Raw genomic sequence first — 24,455 nt, forward strand, 5'->3', positions numbered from 1 at the left:
TCCTTTAATACCTGTTTTACTCCTTCTCTTATTCCGTTTAGTTTTTCAATTCATACAAAACCGTATTCAGGCCATCACCAATAATTCTATACGACAAATGTTTCTTCTAACAACCCCACAATATCACCCCTTACCACAAAATCTTCCTTCAGCTTAATCTCTCCCACTCTAGGTTCCCACGCTGCCCCTAATCCCGCTCGAAGCAGCCCTGAGAAACATCACCCATTCTCTCTCCATACCACCCCCCGCAAAAAAATTTTTTTTCTTCACTGCCTCAACGCTTCCATACTACTTTATGTTATTTTTCTTATTAATATAAGAAGACAGGAATGTCAGGCCTCTGAGCCCAAGCTAAGCCATCGCATCCTCTGTGACCTGCATGTATACGCCCAGATGGCCTGAAACAACTGAAGAATCACAAAGGAAGTGATTCTTCCTGCCTTAACTGATGACATTCCACCACAAAATAAGTGAAAATGGCCGGTCCTTGCCTTAAGTGATGACATTACCTTGTAAAATTCCTTTTCCTGGCTCATCCTGGCTGAAAAAGCTCCCCCACTGAGCACCTTGTGATCCCCAACCCTGACCACCAGAGAACAACCCCCTTTGACTGTAATTTTCCTTTACCTACCCAAATCCTATAAAACGGCCCCACCCCTATCTCCCTGCGCTGACTCTCTTTTCGGACTCAGCCTGCCTGCACCCAGGTGAAATAAACAGCCTTGTTGCTCACACAAAGCCTGTTTGGTGGTCTCTTCACACAGACACGCATGAAACATATATCTTATTGGCTCTGTACCTCTGCAGAACCCTGAATAATACAGGGAATGTGAAGGCACTTGCTGGGTAGGGTGAAGCAGTTATGACACTTCGGAGGAAGTAGCTAAGTCTTGGTGCAGCTCTGTCAGTTGATATTGATGTTGAAGGTTTCTCAGTTTTTTATTGACTCTTGTTTCTCTTCTATGACATTTACATGTGTTAATTCTTATATAGTTCCCTACTTCCTCAGAAAGAACAGAAAAACTGCAGTGGGCAGGAGTGAGAGGAATGCCAGTCCCCCACTGCTTTGGAACAAAGCTTTGTTCAATCTTTCCCCCTGGAAAACAGTCCTTTGTTATGGAGAATGAATGACCAAGACATTTCCACAATATTACTGTTCTCCTGCCCCTGCCCAAGCCACAGAGTGATATTTCTTGGATTTTTACCACGAGAATGTGGTTGGATTCTTGGAAGCAAAACCCAGGAAATTGTTGGGGCACTCTTATATCTACATGCCCTCTTAGGAAATTCTCAATCTCAGTCCAGCAATTCAGCTTCAAACAATTTATTAAAATTAGCATTTAAGTGTACTTACTACTCTACGGTTCCAGTAGTGTTTGTTCTCAGTAAACGGTTCTCAGCTGTGACATTCAACATTTGCCTGTGGAAACTCCTTTCTCTGCCACATCTAACAAGAGTCATTGATTTTGCATTTGTTCAGTATTTTCTTGTCATAAGGACACAGGTAACAACTTCCAGGATTTTTACATGTCAGTGCTGAAAGTGGAAACCTCCATTTAGAAAAATTGTTGATAATAATATGTTAAGGAAAAAATGATATGAAAGAAGAAACCTTTATAAGTTACTTCTGTCTAATTCTCATCTTAGATCTGTTTAAGTACCTGAATCTATGTGTTTAATAGTGTGGTTAAGTTGTAGTTTTATGCTGATTTAATAAACCATAAAAGCAAAGGAATATTGGATTCAAATAAATGTGTAATTGAAATTCTGCAATTAATAATTTATGTTCCCCTTGTGTGGTTAGCCAAAATACTGGATCCTGGATTAGTCTGGCTGCCAGTTATATCTCAAAGAATGTTTGAAAAAAAAATATGGCTAACACTTTTTAAAAGCCCCTTTTATTTTCTCATTTGTAATATTCTACTTGTTTATTCTGAATGTTCACATTCATAGTCAGATGTGAGCAGTGTTTCCATTTTGGCCTATTCTAGGTACAAGCTTAAGTAAAGATAATAAAAGAAAACTGCTAACTCCAGTTTTCTAAATTCTCTTCTGAACCATTGAAGAATAATAACCCCCAAGAACACAACACTACATTTTTAAGGCAAAGTATTAGGCCAGCAGCAGACATTGTCCTCATTTTCTGCCTTCTCCACACAGCCATTGGCATTCTAGGCTATTTTTTTTTAGTCTGTGATCCCTATCATTAATGGGTTGGAACTGATACACAGCCAGTTCCACCCTGCACAGATGCAGGAACCGATGGAGGAAAACAAGGCTGAAAATAAGTACCTGTGATTTAAAAGAAAAAACAGTCATATCAAAGACAAAACATCAAGGCATTGTGAAAGCAAAGTATGATACAGCTGAGCTATGTTAGAGCACCAAAATGATTTAATTGACTACACATTAAAAACAAAAGCTGTCTGCCCAATGGTTTTTAAAAGAAAAGCAATGATTAATAATGAGTTATTCATTTTAAAAATACTTCCTAATTACTTAGATATTCTTATATGAAAAATGATTTTTCTGCTAATAAAAGTCTATATTGTAATATTCAAAGAATTCTTATTAGTTATTAAAATGTATTAGTTAAGAATATGATAATTATATGAGTAATGCATCTTCATGGTTTTTAAAATATTCAGCTAACAAAGAGATTTTCTTTTCCCCTCCCCAATATACCCAAAGGCATACATTCAGAATTTAATACATATTTTTCTGTAACTGTATTTTTTCACATAATAATACATTGGAACATCTTTCATTGTTAACATGTGTAGATTATTTTTGTTCTATGTAATTGCGTCTTTATGTTCCATTGGAAGATGTAGCATAATTTGTTACTTGAAAGTTTGTTTCATATTTTTTACTTTGAATATTTTCAAAAGGAAGGAGTCTTAGGTAATTTGCATTTGTTTTTCTTCTGCTTTCTTTGTATAAAAATAGATATAAATAAGGACTGTGGAAAGCTTTGGGGATTGGCACTGGAAAATGTCTGCTTTTAGAAGTGTGGATTTTCATAGATATATATTTTTGTTGTGACATTTTGTTTTGCCTTCAGTGAAAGTTTGCACTATTAAACCTTAAGATCAGGCTACAGAAAAGATTCACTAGAACTTCAAAAGCTTCTCTTTCTTGTACTCAAATATAAATGTCTCTGCATAAAAATTCTCAGCAACATCATTTGGCTCTTCTATGTGTTGCTGTTCTCAGTAACAAATTAATAAAGAAAAATTGCCCCAGGAGGCAAAATGTTGTCTCAACGGTACCATTTGGCATCTTCACACTGACTTCTCCAGAGCATTGCTGCTCTTATTAGTTCTGTGAAGGTGGAATATCACTGGAGCCTCAGGATAATGAAGGCAGTGGTTCCATTATGAAGAAGCAAGGCATTTTCCCAAAGTGGCCATCAAGCTGCTTGACAATGAGATAGATTTTCTCAGAAAAGATTAATGAAGTTCAAAAAGAAGTAGTGAGTACAGTTCTCCTTAGTATAATATAAAGCTTTTTCTTCTTCCACAGACAGAAGTGCTCAGTTCCCTTTTGTCATCTTTCCTCCTTTAAGCTTCAATAGCCACTTCATTAAGTGAAACAATGCTGTCACCATCCATCATCTGCCAGGCTTCTAATTCCCAATACAGCCTGGTACTCTGCAATCCCAGCATGCAGGTCACAGTTTTCATCTGGATTTGCATTTGTATCTATGAATTCATAATATCCATAAGTTTTCTAAGAATATTAAAAACATTGGAGTGAAAAGGAGCAAATATATGTTTCTCTATTCAATTCAGTTTCTAACACAGTTCATAATGTTTTCAGAATTTGTTTGGGGGGGAAAAGAATCTAATTCTATTTTGTTCACAGATATAGTCCAATTCTCTAGGACAGTTCCTGGCACACAGTAGGCCCCCAATATAATGTTGAATTGCTTGTAATACAAAACTTACAATCAGAAAACAGAGATAAATGCCAATTATTTGTATTGTGAAATACTATAATTTATGTTTAAGTCATTATTAACAACAGATTTTATAACATTAGCTAATTCTATTTGTTAGAATCAGTACATGTTAAACGAGAAGACCATCTGACAATATAGAAACATAAAAACAAGTCTAAAAGAATCAAAAAGGAAAAGACTCAAAAGAATTATAACAAACAAGAGAAGGATTTGATGAAATATGATATTTGTTCACAATGTGTTGACTGATATATCAAGTTTTTTCCCTGTGTTGGTTCTCATTCCTCTAGGAGGCAATTCTGTCATTTTAAATTGGAAGCCTTTGATTATTCTCAAACATATAGTTTTTCTTCTTTATGATTAGACAATTAGGTATTTCCCACGGACATTTGAGGTTAAGGCACAAAAAAGATCTGATTTGAGCTATAACACCTAAATCTTCCCTTCTTCCCCACTCTACAGTTATGTTAATACAACTAAATAAATAGATCTTATTTTGTTTTATATACCCAAATAAATTAATGTTTCTAAAAGCATACAAGAGGAGGACATAATACTCCATTGTCAATATCATTTATTCTAGGATAAATAACAATGTAGGACAGTTTCCTTATTTTGACAACAAATAGAATTTACGCATATATAATGGTCTGATTAAATGATTGAAGTTATTCTCATAATTCACGTGTGCAGATTCAAGGTTGTAGTAAATACTGTACAAGGGAGTCAGTGCAGGAAGGTAAGATCTGAACTACTGTCCTCATCTCTGTAGCAATTCTAAATAAAAGTAGGTAGATACTTATGCATCAATGGTCAGTAATTAATAGCAATAAAAGTGATCAAATTGATATGTTAATGGAGGCTCCATGACTTTCTTCCAGCATTAAAAGAGAAAGATTTTTATCCTCCCAGTTGGTATATATCACTATATTATGATCAAACACTTCTCAGAAACCTTTGACATCTAGAATTCTTATTAGTTATTAAAATGTATTAGTTAAGAATATGATAATTATATGAGTAATGCATGTTCATGGTTTTTAAAATATTCAGCTAACAAAGAGATTTTCTTTTCCCCTCCCCAATATACCCGAATGCATACATTCAGAATTTAATACATATTTTTCTGTAACTGTATTTTTTCACATAATAATATATTGGAAAATCTTTCATTGTTAACGTGTAGATTATTTTTGTTCTATGTAATTGCATCTTTATGTTCCATTGGAAGATGTAGCATAATTTGTTACTTCAAAGTTTGTTTCATATTTGTTTACTTCACATTGTTTGTTCATAAAGCTTATTTCATATTTGTTATATGAAAGTGTTTTTTTAAAAAAATACATCCACATTGTAATAATTTTCAAATAGCCCAGAATAATATAAATTTAAAATAAAAGTCTTCATCTTCTCACTCACAAAGGTAACTAGTGGTAAACATTTGTTTTAGCTCTTCTGATATTTACTATTACATCTATCTTTAAGGGTTTTGAGTTTATTTACTATAATTAACTTTTTAGAGTATTGTTGATTCACCATCATGAATTAGAACACATGTGTTAACCCATGCCTCCTCATTCCCATATCTCTTCTAAGGGTTGTTTTCTTCATTTAATTATTATATCAAAACACCATATTTTGATTCATAAACTGTAGGCATGTCTTGTTGTCTATGTTAAATATTGCTGTAGTGGTTCTCCAAGCGCCTGTATTTTCACTTTTCACTGGATCATATCCATGTGCACAGAATGCTGCTGTTTCTCCTTCTTTAAAAAAATCTGTTTTTATTCCTACTTTTTTCCACCAGCTACTGTCTTTCCTCTATGTTATAGAAAAACTCCTTTGAAAAAGTTGGTTATACGTAGTGTCTCTAAATTCTGACTTCCCATTTAATTTTTCCATATTTATTTAAATACGTATCTGCTCTACCTTTTTCTAAGAAAGTTGTTTCAATTCAAATGAGCCTCTGCATATTAAAGAGTATGTATGTTTATATTTTTCATGATTGCTGATTTATTCGGAATTACTTATTAGGTTTCAAAGGAATCTGTGCTTTTCAAAGGAGTGTTTAATCTATTTCTATTTATCAAAATTACTGATTTATATGAATTCACTTTAAATGTGGCATTCTGTGTTTTATATTTTCCATTAATGCTTCCTTCATTTTCCTTCTTTGACTTCTCTTACACTGATTGAATTTCTTTCATTTTCGTTTTTCTTACTTTACGAGTTTGAATGAGAGAGTTCATATACTTTTATGGTTCTATATATACTTTCAGGATTTTTTCCATTAATTTCAATAAAAAAGAACTACATATGTATATTTTCAGTAAATTAGAATATTTCTTTAAAATTGTCAACTTCCTCTTTGCTAATTTCTATATTATCAACATCTAACATTTTAATTTAAAGTTGCTTTTAAATATCAAATTGAAATATGCTAATTAGCTTTCAAATATAACCATGATATCCATATTGTTATATGACTTATCAAAATACTTATTTACTTGTGTACCTGTTCTCCTTGTAACTCATTACAGTTGTCTCTAGGAATTCATGCAAAATAGGTTCAAGGACCCCCATTGATTCCCAAATCAGTGAATAGGGAAATAATTTATTTAAAATAGTTCATTATTTGCATATAACCTATGCACAATTCCCATAATTCTCATAAAGTTATTTATGAACAAATAAATATTTTTTATTGTGTGGGTTTTTAAAAAATTTTTTAAATTTTTATTGTGTGGGTTTTTAAAAATATTTTCAGTCCACCTTGGTTGAATCTGAGTACGTGGAATCCATCGATCCAGAGGGCCAACTGTACTGTCTTCTGTGGGTTTTTAAAATTTTCTTTCTGAAATATAGCCTTAGAGACTCATCTACTCAGAATTTGTGTACTTTCAGGTAAATCAAAATATATTTATTTTCCTAATGAGAGGTAGACTATGATTCCCATGTATCTATTAGATACTCTAATCCTTGAAGGTTATCTGTATTTTCTTTCTTTTTTCTCTCTCTCTTAGTTTTTGAGTATTTTTGTTTGGAGATCTTTACTTTTCTATTTCATAAAGATTTTTATTTATTGTTTCAAGATTTAATTACAAATATTTCCTTTTTTTACAAGTGTTGTCTTCATATTTGAAGGTAAATGAAATATTGGTAATATTTCAGTGTAGTATTTTGTATTTGTAATCTAGGAAAATATTCAGGGAATGTAAAATTGCATATTTTTGCTGTGACCCAATCTTACATCATCAAAAACACTGAATACAACATATGAATTTTCCAAACAGTGTACAGTTCACTAAACTGTTTTTCTTTGTGTAACAAGTGCTAGAAAATATATTTCCTCTAAAAGATTTAAAGGACCATGAAACTTTTTTTTAGGTATCAGTGCCTTTTCTTGAAAGATATCCCCTCTCTCTTCGTCCCCTAAAAAATATGAAGCTGAGGAAACTAAATTAAATCAGTTCTCCATCCCCAGTCCCACTTTCAACATGATTTCTCAGCTTCCGGTGTCTCTGCAAAAGTTAATACTTTAATCACTGTCTATTGTCTACCTCATTTAACAAACAGAGGAAATTCACCTTGTTTCCATCATTTGAATCACCAATTCATGTTGTATCCCTAGAAAATGCCTAGACCTGTTACGAAACTTTTCTTTGGTTTAGGATGAGCATATTACTCTGTTCTTTAACCTGCTTTTTTATTTCAAACTCTATCTTCTGGATTCTCTTCATACTGAGTTTTTCCCTATGTATTAGCATGCATTACTAAGTTTGTTAGTGTTCCACATGATTATATGTTTTATTGATATGGCTATGTATATATATAATACACACACAATATCATACATACATATATATATATCCTGACAGTCTCACTGTCCATTCTAACTCAGATTTGCTTAATTTCTTCTCCTTTATAGAAATCACCTCTTCCCAGATAAAGCATGTAAGTTAAATTAGTATTAGCTTAACATTTTCAAGTTACAAAAACATTTTTGTCACTTTTTACTTTACACCCCTACTTTTTCCCTTCCTCCTATTTTTAATTATTTTTTTAATTTAAGGCATGCTTTTCTCCTTTCCTTCAACTTTTTTATAACATTTATATAGAGAACATGTAAATTAATATCCTGGCTGCTTTCCAATGCTTCTTTTTGTTGTTAGAGTTATCATTAAAGTCAATATTTCAATATTGGAAAATAAAGTAGCAGTCATGGTGATCTACCACATCCCTGTTTAACTATTCTATTTTTACTTAAAATAATACAACTATGTAATGATTGTTTTTCTCTGAAAACATTGTGGCAGTTTCTGAATGTTGGAAAGACCCAAAGAACTATTTACTGGCATCTTTGTGAATGAGAGAAGATTAAGCATTGAAATAAAGAGGTATTGTTTTAATTTACACAAGGTATTATTTAGGCAAATGGAAGAACTATATTTAGATACCTGAAGTACAATACTCAGAAAATGACTACTACAGTAACAACTTCATTAAAAATAAAAATGAGCTCATTTAATTAAATTAATTGCTAATCTATTAGAAACACTTCCAGAAAGGTTGTGGCATTCTTAGATTTCAAGTTAGATAAATCTCAGAGGATAGGAAGCTCATTAACTGTTCCATATTTAAAAATAAAATAAATCAAGATCTAGGATTGTAAAGATTTAGGTGATTTTTAGAACCTTTTAAAATAATATATTGTGAAAGGGAATAGAGGAGCTTAGCTTTAGAAAAGAATAGAGAATTACTGTGATACTGAAGGTTAGAATTAGAATATAGTCTATATTCAAATCACACACAGCAATGTTGTATAATTCCTAATAAAAAATGTTACTTAAATTCTATTGTTTTTTCATTAAAAATCATACTATTAATCATCTAGGAAGAGGCTGCAGTTCAAGATCTCTGCAACAAATTTTGAGCCTTATATACTGTGTTAATGTTTCAAATGCTACTGTTTACAGGCTGTGTGACCTTGAATAATTAGTTTAACATCCTACATCTCTGTTTCCTAATCTGTAAAATTAGGCTAGTAATAGCAAATGCTTCATAGTTTTTTTGAGAATTCAATAATATGATACGTGCAAAGTCCTGAAAACAGTAACTGGAATTGAGCAATATGTAGTTAATTTTAGTGGTTGCTGCTGCTGTTGTTGTAATAAGGATAATGATAATAATAATAAACAACTATTTTACTATCATTAATTTGCTGTCTGTCCTCTTGCACATTTTCCTTTTCGATTTACATTTAAAGAACCATTTATCACCTAGAGCTCCAAGTGTAATCCATAAATTCCCTCAAATTCTTACTTTGAACATCTTTCTTCTAACGTGGCAACATTCCTTGTGAACCTACTATTAGATTACCTGTAGCTCTGACATGAGGAAAGATTTTTCAAAACAAGCATAAACTCCTTTTCCCCCACTCTCTGCTACTTCTTTCTAGTGCTTTATTTGTGGGAACTGTACATTGTAGTATTTAAAATGCCGTTGTCAGCAGCCCCCACAACACACTCACACATTTCTCTTGCACTCCATAACTTTTTTTTTCTCCTGAGAATCACCACCTTTGAATGCATGTGAAAAATTGTAAGTACTGAAAGGTCAATAGGTTGCCTGGAAGAAAAAAAATCAGCGAACAGCCAAAATATGTTTGGCTGCTTAGCTTTCATGTCATCAGACTGATTCTTTGACTCATTGGATAGGCTGTGAGAAAAATTGAAAGCATCTTCCTACTATTTCCCAGGCAACTCTGTATAACCAGATTGAAAGAGACAGAGAAAGAGAGGGAGAAAGAGAGGAAGTAGGAAAGGAAGAAATTGAGAGAAGTTAAAGGACAATATACTGCATAATGAAGGGAAGCTTGGTAAGTTCTTCACAGTAACATCGCTGAGGCCTTGGGCATGGGAGCATACTACAAGATTGCGACATTATAATTTCCTGATTTTTACAATGGTGGAATTGTGTCATTTTGCATCTATTTATAGGTATCTTAGTTGAATGGTGGGATAGTATTTTAATCCACAAGATTCATTAATTCTGTATGTTTCTGGACTACAAGAAAATGTTAAACTTTGATGGGGGTGTGTGTCAACTCAAGCTATTATAACAAAGTACCATAAACTGGGTAGCTTAAAACATAGAAAATTATTTCTTACAGTTAGGGAGGCTGGGAAGTCTGAAATCAAGGTCCCGGGAAGGTGGTTTTCATTCTGAGCACTTTTTAGGCTTGAAGGCAACCCTTCTCACCGTGCACATACTTGGCAGAAAGAGAGAGAACTCTTACCTCTCTTCCTCTTCTTATGAGGGCACTAATCCCATCATAAGGGCCTCATTCTCATGACCTCATTTAAACCTAATTATCTCCCAAAGGTTCCACCTGCAAACATCATCACATATGGGTGTGAGGACTTCAACATAAGAATTTGGGGGAGCAGGATCAGTCTATAACATTAAGTCCATAACAGCTTGTGTATGTGTGTGCTCGTGAGTGTGAGAGAGAAAATTATAAGTTCCGTGCAATCATGTCTAAGTGAAGAATGACAAAAAGAACATTTTTAACAGTTTCTTATTTCTTGGCTAGAGGTCTGCGTATAGGTCTCTCCCTGCTGAAGCACATTTTTATTTTCTGTATTTTTATGCATCACACCCCAGTGCAAGATTTATGAAACTTGAGTCCATTTCTTTCTATAAATAGAAACAACTTTGATCACAAACAGGCTGATTTATGAACTGGAAAATACCTAAGACAAGACAGCCTTTCACAGAAACCATATCTTTTTAATCAACCTACATTATATAATACACTCTTTTACTTAAAAGAGCACTGCCTTAAGTATGAATTATATGCCATTAGAAATATTCTCAGTTACAAAAGGCCCAGCACTTCTATACATCAGACTAATGATTAGACAAAAGTAATGCCAATATTTGAAAATACCTGATAACATGAAGACTTAAAGTTATTACTAGTAACACTAAAGTTGATTTAGAGTTTAAGCAGATAGATTGTTTTGGAAGAATAGAAAATTTGAAGAGAATATGTCAACGTAGTTACATACAAAGGCTGGGTTATCTGAACCTTCAGAAACCCTAGCATGTGTGTGTGTGTGTAGGAATATGTATGCATATATTAGGTAAACTCTATTGTATTATAAAGAAACTTGCTAAATCTAATTTTTATAATTTTAGATAATAAAGTTATAGGTAAGATTATGATTAACTTTAAAAAGGGTTAGATGGATGTATAATGAGAAGTCTGGTAGGTTTGTCACAAAAGGGCAATAATTTTCTTTTCATTATCCTCTTTTGGATTTTTTTTTTGTTTTCTTGTAATTTAAATTCTCAACATCTAGATCTAAAGATATCAAAGAAGATATTCAGTCAATATTGCACAAATGAGAGAAAGAAATAATGCACTTCTGTAAGTACATCATGCCTTTTTCAAAAATGATTTCTTATTGTGTAGCCATTGATAAAATAGAGCAATATAAAACATACTTAAATGTTTTATATACTACAACAAAAAATAAATTATAGTAATGTAAAACAGACTCAGTAGAAACAGATGCACCCAATATCATGAAATTATCTACAATTTTTGAAATTTTTTCACTTTTTAAACACTATTATTTTTATATTAAGTTTAAATTCTCTTATCAAAGCAATAATGGAGATGCATTCCCCCAAAACCACCACCTAGCTCTGCTCATCATTAATTTCCTTTAAATAGACTTTATTGCTTAGAACAGTTTTGGATTTACAGAAATATTGTGAAAATAGCACAGAGATTTCCCATATACCTCACATTCAGTGTCCCCTACTATTAATGTCCTACATTACTATAATACTTTTGTTATGTTTAATAAATGAATATTAATACAGTATTATTAACTCAACCCTGGACTTTATTCAGGTGTCTTTAGCTTTTAGCTAATGTTCTTTTTCTGTTCCAGGGTCCCATCTAGGTTACCACATTACATTTAAGTGCCATGTCCCCTTAGGCTCCTCTTGGCTATAACAATTTCTCCAGTTTTCTTTGCTTTTAATAACCTTGACAGCTTTGAAAAATGCTGGTCAAATATTTTGTATATCGTATATTTTTTATTGGGAATTGTGCAATGTGTTTCTCATGATTATGCTAGGGTTATGTTTTTGCAAGGAAGTCACAGAGAATAAGTGCCATTTTTCATGAATCATATTAAGAACATATACTATCAACATTAATTACCACAATTAATGTTGATGTTGATAACTTTGCTGAGGTAGTGTTTGCTGGGTTTCTCCACGAAATTACTGATTTACCCCTTTTTGTACTATAATCCTTGGAAGAAAGTCACTATGGATAGCCTACACTTAAGGAATAGGGAGCTCTGCTCCAACTACTAAAGGGCATAGTATGGACACAAATTATTTGAAAGTTTCCTGCAGATATTTTTCTATTCTTTTTATATTTGTTTCCTTCAACTTTTATTTTTAGTTCAGAGGTGCATGTGCAGGGTAGTTACATAGGTAAACATGTGCCATGGTGGTTTGTTGCACAGATCATCCCATCACCTATGTATTAAGCCCAGTATCCATTAGCTATTTTTCCTGATGCTCTCCCTTCCCCAACCCTTCCCACTGGTGCCCAATGTGTGTTGTTCCCCACCCCCATGTGTCCAATATGTTCTCATTATATAGCTCCCATTTATAAGTGAGAACATGTGGTGTTTGGTTTTCTGTTCTTGCATTAGTTTGTTAAGTATAATGGCTTCCAGCTTTATCCATGTCTCTGCAAAGGAAATGATCTCGTTCCTTTTTGTGTCTGCTTAGTATTACATGGTGTATATGTAAAACATTTTATTTATCCAGTCTATCACTGATGGGCACTTAGGTTGATTCCATGTTTTTGCTATTGTGAACGGTGCTGCAATGGACGTACACATGCAGGTATCTTTATAATTGAATAACATATATTCCTTTGTGTATATACCCAGTATAGGATTGCTGGGTCAAATGGTATTTCCACCCCTAGATCTTTGAGGAATCACCGCACTGTCTTCCACAATGGTTGAACTAATTTACCCTCCCACCAACAGTGTAAAAGCATTCTTTTTTTCTCTACAACCACACCAGCATCTGTTGTTTTTTGACTTTTTAATGACAGCCATTCTGACTGGCATGAGGTGGTATCTCACTGTGGTTTTGATTTGCATTTCTGTAATGATCAATGTTGACATTTTTTTCATATTTTTTTTGCCTCATGTATGTCTTCTTTTGAGAGGTGTCTGTTCATATCCTTTGCCCACTTTTTAATGTTTTTTTCTTGTAAATTTGTTTAAGTTCCTTATAGACTCTAGATATTAGACATTTGTCAGATGGATAGATTGCAAAAATTGTCTTCCATTCTGTAGGTTGTCTGTTCACTCTGATGATAGTTTCTTTGGCTGTGCAGAAGCTCTTCAGTTTAATTAGATCCCGTTTGTCAATTTTGGCTTTTGTTGCAATTGCTTTTGGCATTTTTGTTATGAAATCTTTGCCTGTGCCTATGTCCTGAATGATATTGCTTAGATCCTCCTCTAGTATTTTTATAGTTTGGGGTTTTACTTTTAACTATTTAATCCATCTTGAGTTAATTTTTGTATATGGCTTAAGGAAGAGGTCCAGCCAATTTCAATATTCTGCATATGGCTAGCCAGCCTTCCCAGCACCATTTATTAAATAGGGAGTCCTTTCCTCCATTGCTTGTTTTTGTCAGGTTGGTTGGAAATCAGTTGGTTATAGATGTGCAGTCTTGTTTCTGAGTTCTCTATTCTCTTCCATTGGTCGATGTGTCTGTTTTTGTACCAGTACCATGCTGTTTTGGTTACTGTAGCCTTGTATAGTTTGAAGATGGGTAATGTGATGCCTCCTTTGTTCTTTTTGTTTAGGATTTGGCTAGTCCGGCCCTTTTGTGGTTCTATATGAACTTTAAAATAGTTTTTTCTAATTCTGTGAAGAATGTCAATGGTAGCTTAATGGGGATAACATCTATAAATTATAGATAGCATCTATAAATTACTTTGTACAATATGGCCATTTTCATGATATTAATTCTTCCTACCCATGAGCATGAAATGTTTCTCCATTTGTTTGTGTCCTTTCTGATTTCTTTGAGCAGTGGTTTGTAGTTCTCCTTGAAGGGGTCATTTACTTCCCTTGTTAGCTGTATTCCTAGGTATTTTATTTTCTTTGCAGCAATTGTGAATGGGAGTTCATTCATGATTCAGCTTTTTGCTTGCCTGTTGTTGGTGTATAGGAATGCTAGCAATTTTTGCACATGGATTTTATATCCTGAGACTTTGCTGAAGTTGCTTATCAGTTTAAGAAGCTTTTGGGCTGAGACAATGGGGTTTTCTAGCTATAGGATCATGTCATCTGCAAATAAAGATAATTTGACTTCTTTTCCTATTTGAATATCCTTTATTTCTTTCTCTTGCCTGATTGCCCTGGCCAGAGCTTCCAATAGTATGTTGAATAGGAGTGATGAGAGAGGGCATCCTTGTCGTGTGCTGGTTTTCAAGAGGAATGGTTTCACCTTTTGCCCATTCAGTATGATATTAGCTGTGGGTTTGTCATATATGGCTCTTATTATTTTGAGGCGTGTTCCTTCAATACCTAGCTTATAGAAAGTCTTTAACATGAATGAGTGTTGAATTTTATCAAAGGCCTTTTCTACATCTATTGAAATAATCATGTGGTTTTTGTCTTTAGTTCTGTTTATGCGATGAATCACAATTAATGATTTGCATATGTTGAACCAAACTTGCATCCCAGGAATGAAGCCAACTTGATTCCTTTATTTACATAAGTATGTACTCCTAGATATTTATTTTGTGAAGTGTTTTATGATCATACGGATTTATTTGTAATCTTGTTCATATGGTCGATTACATTATTTGATTTTTGTATGTTGAACCACTGTTACATACCTTAAATAAATCCCTCTTGTTAATGACATGTAATTCTTTTCATACATTGTTGTATTAACCTACTAATATTCCATGGTTAATTATTAACAATATCATCCCTGGTATATCCTATGCATACATATCAATCAAATGATACACATATATTTATCTATTTATATTTTTATCAAAATAGTTCAAAATTCCTAAGTTATGTTAAGGAAACTTTTTAGTCTTTAATCTAACATCAAAAAGTAAAGTGAAGTTAACACGAAAGATTGTAGACGTGTTTTGTTTAAAAGTTTTCACACCCAAACATTATCTCAAAAGATCAGAATAAGGCTAAGAAAAGCAACTATGAAACATATTAAGGATGGAATCCTTACATAATTTTTAACTTTGCTTTAAATTACAAATCATCATTTTACTAAGTCACTAGCATTGTTAAATGTCTCCTAAATTCTCCTCTCCTTTTTAAATTTTTTGTTAGTAAATTTATTGCTGTAACATTTTAACATGACATTTTTGATGTGTTAGGTAGATATTTATACTAGCTTTGTTTTAAATTGATTCAGATATGGATGGATGCTTTTCTCTTCTTGAATTCTTTACTTAGCTTATTTTCTAATTGATTAAAATTTGTCTTTAAGTAGATATATCATGGATAGCTTCTGTGTTGTCATACCTGAGTTCTTTTACTACACAGCCTGTTAGTTTATTTTATGCTTGGAAAACATGTAAATTGAGTGTAATGTTCTTAAGTTACACTTTCCATTATTTAGAGCTTTCCAATCATCATTGATGTGTTTGCGAGCATTTAAATGATGATAGATAGAAATTTGAGGCTATGCCGACTGGCTTCCCTTCCTGTAAGGTTTTTTCCACCATTTGATGACAAAAATAATTATTCCCTCCCACCTGAATTTCTGTAATGTTTCTCTATAATATAAATGATCATAAAGAGTCTATGTGATTGCATTATTTCTGCCTTGTTTACTCTGTTTCTTGCTATGTTGAACTAATTTTCTTATTTTCTCAGAGGTTCTTTTGGTCCTTGATCTAATTAGTTAGGTCTGCAAGCTACATTTTCCTTCTTTTTTTCTTTTACATTATGTCTTATAGATATTGTTTTCTTAAATTAAAAATAATATTACAATACTTTAAGTCATTTGTTCTGTGTCAGCGTCATACCAATCTACATTGTTCATGGGATAATCCTTGCTTTTATTTTCATAGGTTAGTTTGCAGAGCTACCTTTCCATTTCTTTTCACTTTTTTGTTTTTGTTGTTGGATAGCTTTGTCAAGATCTTTTCTTCTGTCTTTGACAGTCTTGACCATGTTCTTATCATGTCTGTATTGCTTATCTTCCCTGCCTCATTACTGTTTAAAACTAGTGATTTTTTCTGCCAGCCACATTTTGGTAGCCTGAAAGCATGACAGGAAAGGAGATACTTGGATGAGCAGTGTGTAGTCTTTGTTAGAATACCTGAGCTCTGCTTCGGTTTCTGCAATGATGTTAAATGCCCTCACACTGTGTCCTCAATAGCTGCCATAGAAACTAGTGCATTGTAACTTCTTAATTAATGATTTTTGAATGAAAGAATGAATAAATATATTAGACATGAGTACCTGTTATTACTTTTCTGCTACAGATTAGATTCTCAATTTATTATGTAATTTGAAATTCACACTTCTATTAGAGCAAATTAGTAGACGCATGCAATGCTGCATGAAGCTGCTTAGAATTTGGATACTGTTGCTTTTACTCCTATTTTATTAACCCCAGCAAGTCACACCTTTGGGCCTAATATTGGAGAAGAAATTCACATGCTACCCATGAAAGTGCTGCAAATGCCAATTGGAAGACTTGTATGCTTCTCTTACAGTGAAGGGAAGAAATAATCAAGAACAAAAATTCAATGCACCTTAAGCTTCTCCACCCCTTTCATGTGGGCAGCACTTTCCAGAACTCACCAGTTTTAATAAGTGTATGGTAAAGATACTGCTTCAGAATTTTTTCTTCATGTTTGAGGCTCATATTAAGAATTTCTGGCTTCTATTTGCCCATCCTATGACCTCTTGGGCTTACAAGCTTCAATAAGAGTACTGAATGCCAATACTCTTGGCAGCTTTTCCAGTTTCTAGAATCATTACTTGGCAGCGATTTTTCAAGGATTTTATTTTTAATGTTCATTTATTTGAATACTGAAAGAAAATGATAGTTTGATGCAGTTCAATTCTGCCATTTTTACATAATCTGTTCAGGCAGAAATTTTGCCCAAGATCTTTAAAGCAATAATATGTACTCCGATATTCTTTTATACTATCATTTCCAAATATTACAACCTTCTATGCAAGACAATTTTATTCAACGCATACTTTTATGTACTTAATATATGACTCCTTCTAGATGGTTAGTACAGTCTTAAAATTCTGTTAATATTGTCTTTATTACCTATTAACATTATTCATATCAAAGGAGTAAGGATTTTATTTATTTAATTAAGATTTTAGCTGGGCATGCTGGTTCATGCCTATAATCCAGCTCTATTGAATTAAGTAATTTTCTATTAGATTTGATTCTTAATCCCAATTCAACTCATTGTATGTAGTTTCATGTTACAGGTATACATACACCTGTATTTATTTTATATAAAACACAATGTATTTAATTATATGAACTTGAAATGCACTCATATTAATAAAAAACTTTAGCAGAACTGAGAAAAAGAAAATTCTTTATTTTTAATTGTGAAATCAATCTATAACACCTAAGTTCAGGAGAGCAAATAACATATTTTGGCAAGTATTCATTAAGGCAATTACTTATAGGTAACTTTCATAACTCTTAATCAGCAGTGTTATAGTATTCAAAATTGAAAAACCATGGCAGAAAATCAATTAAAACTATAAGTAAACATTTCTCCAAGTTTTAATATTCTAAAACATTTTTTATGAATCTCCACATGATGCAATTTGAAACTATATCATATCTATATACTAATATTATTTTATTTTTTATGCACATAAAAAATAATTATACATCCTGGGGTATTGTCATTATTATGAGGTTTCTTTTGGAAGGAAAGGAGCATAAATCTAGTTATATTAAGTGTATAATTTTGAAACTTTTTTTGTTTGTTTTTGTTGCCCAGGCTGGAGTGCAATGGCACAATCTCAGCTCACTGCAACCTCCGCCTCCCGAGTTCTAGCACTTCTCCTGCCTCAGCCTCCCAAGTAGCTGGGATTACAGGCATGTGCCACCATGCCGGCTAATTTTGTATTTTTAGTAGAATTGGGGTTTCTCCATGTTGGTCAGGCTGGTCTTGAACTCCCAACCTTAGGTGATCCGCCTGCTTCTGCCTCCCAAAGTATGGGATTACAGGTGTGAGCTACTGCATCCGGCCTGAAACTTATTTTTAAATTAACTCCATGGTATGAATATTTCTCTCCTATTTTAATAGATGGATAAATAGACGATGAATTGATATACAGATAGACAACTGAATAGAGATATAGAGAGATGAAAGAGAACTCTAGATAGTTATTTTAATTGTTATATAATATTTCAAAACCAAGTTTTTTAACTGTGGCTTTGTCACTACAATCAATCTTATGATCAATATCACTGTGTGTGTGTATATATATATACACACATATATAACTATTTACTGTTTATCATAAAATATTTTCCAAAAAGTTACTCTTTCTGAGCTAAATGATAGGCCAGAAACTTTCCAGAAAAGTTGTAGCAGCTCATCTTTCCAAAGGTAACAGTTGAGAGTGCTTCTTTCCTCACAGTCTATCCCACACTCTTGTTCTCTCTAATATTCAGGCCCTGGGATATTTAGGCAAAGATGAGGAGAATGTAATTTCAATTAATCACCATTTTTCAGTCTTTCTAATGCTTTTGCATTTCTGCACTAGAGAGCACTCTGGATATAGACTGAGGCCCATTTGCCTCCAGCAGCACTAATGCTTCACACTTGCTTACTGAATAAAAATTACTCCCAGAGACATGCATCCCAATAACATTAGCAATTCTGTAACTTCTTGCTTTTAGCGCTGGGGTATGCCTTCATCAAAGGTCTAAAGGGAAAACAACAAACAAACCAAACAAAAAACCCTACCCGTTAAATCAAGAAAGAAACAGAGACACTTTTGAGGCAAGAGAATAGGGTCCGGAGTCAGGGAACCTAAGGCCAATTCAGGCTGACTTCCTAGAACTAAATCAAAAGGAAAACCCCAAATTTCCATGCCCAAGTAACAAAAGCACCACAGGCTACTCCGTTTGCAACCTCTCCTCCTTTTCTGTGTGACAGATGAAAAACTGAAAGTACCTCTGATTGGTTTCTTCCTGCAACCAATCAGGGCTGTTCATGGGCCAAGTCTTTATTTGCATAGAAGTATAACTTTGTAACTTTACTTTAGCCTCTGATTGGTCACTTTCTGCAACCAATCAGACTGATCACAAGACAGTACTTCATTTACATATGGTATACACCAAGTAACCAATGGGAAACCTCTAGAGGGTATTCAAACCCCAGAAAATTCTGTAACTAGGTCCTTGAGCCGCCTGCTCAGGCCTGTTGCCACCCTGTGAAATGTGCTTTCATTTTCAGTAAATCTCTGCTTTTGTTGCTTTATTCTTTTCTTGCTTTCTTTGTGCATTTTGTCCAGTTCTTTAATCAAAGCACCAAAAACCCGGACACTCTGCACCGGTAATAGGTTTCTGTCATGACAAAGCTGCTTCCTTTCATGATTCAAAATAATTGATTTGCATAAATAATGAGTATTTCTATATCACAGTTTATTCAATATTAAGAAATCAACATTACTTCTTAAAATATTATCTTTTATTATTATTCATTTAATCTCAAATCCTTTAAAAACTAGGAATTTTTTGTGGAAGTTTTTTTTTTGCTAAGTGGAAGTGTTTTGTTTGACAAGACCTCATTTTGGGAAAGGTGGGTTAGAACCTTGGGGTAGAAATTATACCCTAGACTTGGCACTCCAGACAATATACCTGGCATGATGCTGAGAATTATGAGAGGGAGTAGTTAGCACTCACAGGGTAATAGAGATGTAGGTTCTTATTAGAAACTTTTCTTTAATTATACGATTCTTAGTCTGAGATAAGCTAGAATAAAAGATTAAAACCTATTAAGAGTATGGAGCAGGAAAGAAACTGTTTACAGTTATATTTAAAATAGTAAATAAAAATGCTTTACTCATATTAAAATATTTGCATTTCCTCAACCTTTGCTCAAGGTAATTGGGCATTACCTTGCATGTGAAGAAAAAAGTTGAATGTAGTTTTTATGAGGTACTTTTAAAATATCTGTTTATATAAGCAAAATATGGTAATCTTTTGCCATATTGAATTAGTTTTGAAAAACAAGGATTCTTATTTATCCATCCAGAAAAAAGTACCTAATTCACTCTTAAACTAGTAGAACATAAGAGGATCACTTTGTTTCAGGTATTGAATGTATATGTCTATATAAAACATAAATATACATTATAACATAATTTCATAAGAAAGACATCCCATCTGACAAGGAACTGTACAAGTCTTCCTTAATATACAGATAGAAAAGAAGTATAGAGAAAATGTATTTCTCCTTTCAATTTATACTATGTAATCACTAATAGCAAAAGGGACCAGTTTTCAAAAAAGCTATAAGGACCTCAACTTCATCCATAATGGAATAACTGACACGGGAAATGAAGAACTATAAAACTGAACAATTCTCAGATATTCAATGAAAAGCAGGACTGGGCTATGAGCTATGAAAGAGAGGAAAGGGAAATGTAAAGGCACATCAGTTGTCCAGACTTTGTGCTTTGAGGCAGTTGCTGGACTGCATCACAAAGGAGGAGGAATTTAAGCAGAGCATAGTGTTCTCATTGAAGTAATAAAACCAAGAAAGAAGTTGGGGAAGCTGAAGTAGATAGAATTTGTGGATCAAAATATGGAAGAAATGGGATATAGACAAATAAAGAGCTCAAGAAATCTTTGACATGTCCCAGTGTCTGTGGTTGAGTATCACCTTAATGAACCTGAAAAATAAGACTCAAAATCACTAAGCTCATCTGTTGTTACTTACAGATGAAAGTAACAACCTATGAAAAAAAATGCCAACACTTTTTACAAATTGATGATAAAATTCAAACACTCACCAACATTATTATTTCTGGTGTTCAAAAAGGAAAAATAGACAAAGACACAGTAGATGATGTCACTTGAATAAACATAATCAATATAAACAGACTCAGAAATGGCAGAGGTATTAGAATTATGAGGACATCAGAATAACTAGTATAAATATGTTCAAGGATTTAAGGTAAAATGTAAACATGATAAGAGAACAAATAAAAAATTTTAAAAGAAATCAAGATATAATTTAAGGTGAAAAGTACTATATCTCAAATGAAAAATTAGCTGTAGGACCTTAACAGTAAGTTAGATACTGTAAAGGTCATTTCTAAACGATTAGTGAACTTAAAGGCAAATATAAAATATTCAAACAGAAACACAGAGAGAAAAATTATGAGGAAAAAAACAGAGGCTCGATCTATGGGACAACATCAGACAGAAAAACATAACAATTATTAGATTTCCAGATGAAGAGGGATGGGTAAAACAATTTTTTTTAAAATAAAGGCTACAAATTTTCCAAATTTTGGCTGCTAACTTGGGAAATATATAGCAAAATAGAATATTGTTCTCCTCCTCAATAATGAGAAAAACACATAATCCACAAATATTTATCTCAGAGAGCTGAAATCACAAATAAACCAAGTATACTAGATTCCAAAACATGACAATCTCCTCTTTTGATAGGAAAAATACATACATTCTTTTGTCTTTTATAAAACAGAACAAAAGGATGTGCAGGTAAAGAAAAAAGATTAAAGAATTCTCAAGGTGACACTTTGGGTGAGAGAGACAGATAAGAATCTTAGCTTGGTCCATTTGCAGGATACAGAAGCAATGACCCCTAGTAGCAAGGAATATACCTAGTGCCTAGATTGTGATTTCTTAACATCATTCTTCAGCAAAAGAAAGTAGGATAGTTTGGTTAATAATAGGGATAAAGCAGAAAAATATGATTCACTTACAAAAAACTTATGATGCCAGAAATTAAGAAAATGCTCAGAAAAGAATGAGGTCTTGTAGAAAGAACAACAAAGACAATTTGAAAAAAAGGAGATCTTGTAGAAAGAATGAGGTCTTGTAGAAAGAACAAGGAAGACAATTTGAAAAAGTTCCTGACAACTAAAGCTCAGAAGTTTGAGAAACAAAATAAATTCTTGTGTTATTAGATTATAAGCCATAGAGATTTATTTTGAGCAGCAAAATAAATACTTGTGTTGTTAGGTTATAAGATATAGAGATACATAACCCACAAATTAAAACAGATGAATAAAATAAAGAAAACAAAAGAATAAAAGAAAGAGAGAGAAGGAAAGAAAGAAAGAAAGCAGAAGAGACAACACTACTTAAAATAGCATTCCAATTAAAGATGTAACACATTTTTTTTTAAATCTCATCAGGCAATTTCTAACAAATTGAAAGATTGATTTTTAACTATAGAAGGACATGGCAGGGCGTGGTGGCTCACGCCTGTAATCCCAGCACTTTGGGAGGCTGAGGCAGGTGGATCAGGAGGTCAGGAGATAGAGACCATCCTGGCTAACATGGTGAAACCCCATCTCTACTAAAAAAATATAAAAAATTAGCCAGGCGTGGTGGCAGGCGCCTGTAGTCCCTGCTACTCGGGAGGCTGAGGCAGGAGAATGGAGTCAACCAGGAGGCGGAGCTTGCAGTGAGCTGAGATGGTGCCACTGCACTCCAGCCTGGGCGACAGAGTGGACTCCATCTAAGAAAAAAAAAAGAAGGATATACCAAAACCTAGAATAACCAAAACAATTTTCAAAAAGAATAGCACAGCTAAAGAACTCACAGTATCTAGTTTCAAGTTTTTTTTCTAAGCATCTCTGAAATCTAGGCAGAGATTCCAAAACCTCAATTCTTAATTTCTGGGCACCTGCAAGCTCAATACCATGTGGAAGTTTCCAAGGCTTCGGGCTTGCACCCTCAGAAGCCACAGCCTGAGATGTACATTGGCCCTTATAGTCATAGCAAGAGAGGCTGGAAAGCAGGTCACCAAGTCCTGCATAAAGCAGGGGTGTCCTGTGCCTGGTCCACAAAACCATTTTTTCCTTCTAGGCCTCTGGATCTGTGATGGGATGGGCTGCCACAAAGGTCTTTGACGTCCTCTGGAGACATTTTCCCCATTGTCTTGGCAACTGTTTGGCTCCTTGTTACTTAGGCAAATATCCTTAGCTGGCTTGAATTTCTCCTCAGAAAATTTGTTTTTTTTCTTTTCTATCACACTGTCAGGCTGCAAATTTCCCGATATTATATGCTGTTTCCCTTTTAAAATGAAATGCCTTTGATGTCACCCAAGTCACCTTTTGAATGCTTTGCTGCTTAGACATTTGTTCTGCCAGACACCCTAGATCATATATTTCAAGTTCAAAGTTCCACAAGTTTTTAGTGCAGAAGTAAAATGTCACCAGTCTCTTTGCTAAAACATAGCAAGAGTAATCTTTACTCCAGTTCCCAACAAGTGCCTCATCTCCATCTGAGACCACCACAGCTTGGATTTCATTGTCCATATCATTATCAGCATTTTGGTCAAAGCCATTCACAACAAGTCTCTAGGCAGTTCCAAACTTTATCACATTTTTCTGTCTTCTTCTGACACTCCTAACTTTCCCAACCTGTGCCTGTTACCCAGTTCCAAAGTTGCTTCCACATTTTCAGGTATTTTTTGAGCATCGCCCACTATTCAGGTTCCAATTTACTATATTCATCTATTCTCACATCGCTAATAAAGACATACCCAAGACCAGGTAATTTATCAAGGAAAAGATGTTTAATGGATTCACAGTTTCACATGGCTGGGGAGGTCTTACAATCATGGAGGAACACAAGGAGGAGTAAAGTCAAGTCTTACATGAATGGTGGCAGTTGAGAGAGCGTGTGCAGGGGAACTCCTCTTTATAAAACCATCAGATCTCATGAGACTTATTCACTATCATGAGAACAGCATGGGAAGACCCAGCCCCATGATTCAATTACCTTACACTGTGTCCCTCCCATGACATGTGGTGTATCAGTCCGTTTTCATGCTGCTGATAAAGACATACCCAGGACCTGGGCAATTTACAAAATAATGAGGTTTAATTGACCTACAGTTCCACATGGCTGGGGAAACCTCACAATCATGGCAGAAGGCAAGGAGGAGCAAGTCATACCTTACATGGATGGCAAAAGGCAAAGAGATGGCTTGGGCAGAGAAACTCCTGTTTTAAAACCATTATAACTTGCAATAACCATTCACTAACACCAGAACAGCATGAGAAAGACCCACCCCCATGATTCAATCATCTTCCGCTGGGTACCTCACTCAGGTGGGAATTATGGGAGCTACAATATGAGATTTGAATGGAAACAAAGAGCCAAGCCATATCATTC

General features: G+C 33.8%; 2 annotated features.

The window, feature by feature from the left end:
* Positions 1-679: an enhancer, noted in NCBI's record as "OCT4-NANOG-H3K27ac-H3K4me1 hESC enhancer chr7:119654116-119654794 (GRCh37/hg19 assembly coordinates)". NCBI's record gives its function as "activates a minimal SCP1, AML or CMV promoter by ChIP-STARR-seq in naive H9 embryonic stem cells {active_cell/tissue: H9 hESC(naive)}" and the evidence as "EXISTENCE:reporter gene assay evidence [ECO:0000049][PMID:30033119]".
* Positions 680-1,358: an enhancer, noted in NCBI's record as "OCT4-NANOG-H3K27ac-H3K4me1 hESC enhancer chr7:119654795-119655473 (GRCh37/hg19 assembly coordinates)". NCBI's record gives its function as "activates a minimal SCP1, AML or CMV promoter by ChIP-STARR-seq in naive H9 embryonic stem cells {active_cell/tissue: H9 hESC(naive)}" and the evidence as "EXISTENCE:reporter gene assay evidence [ECO:0000049][PMID:30033119]".

This window comes from Homo sapiens, chromosome 7 (genome assembly GCF_000001405.40).
Source record: "Homo sapiens chromosome 7, GRCh38.p14 Primary Assembly".
NCBI classification, from domain to species: Eukaryota; Metazoa; Chordata; class Mammalia; order Primates; family Hominidae; genus Homo; species Homo sapiens.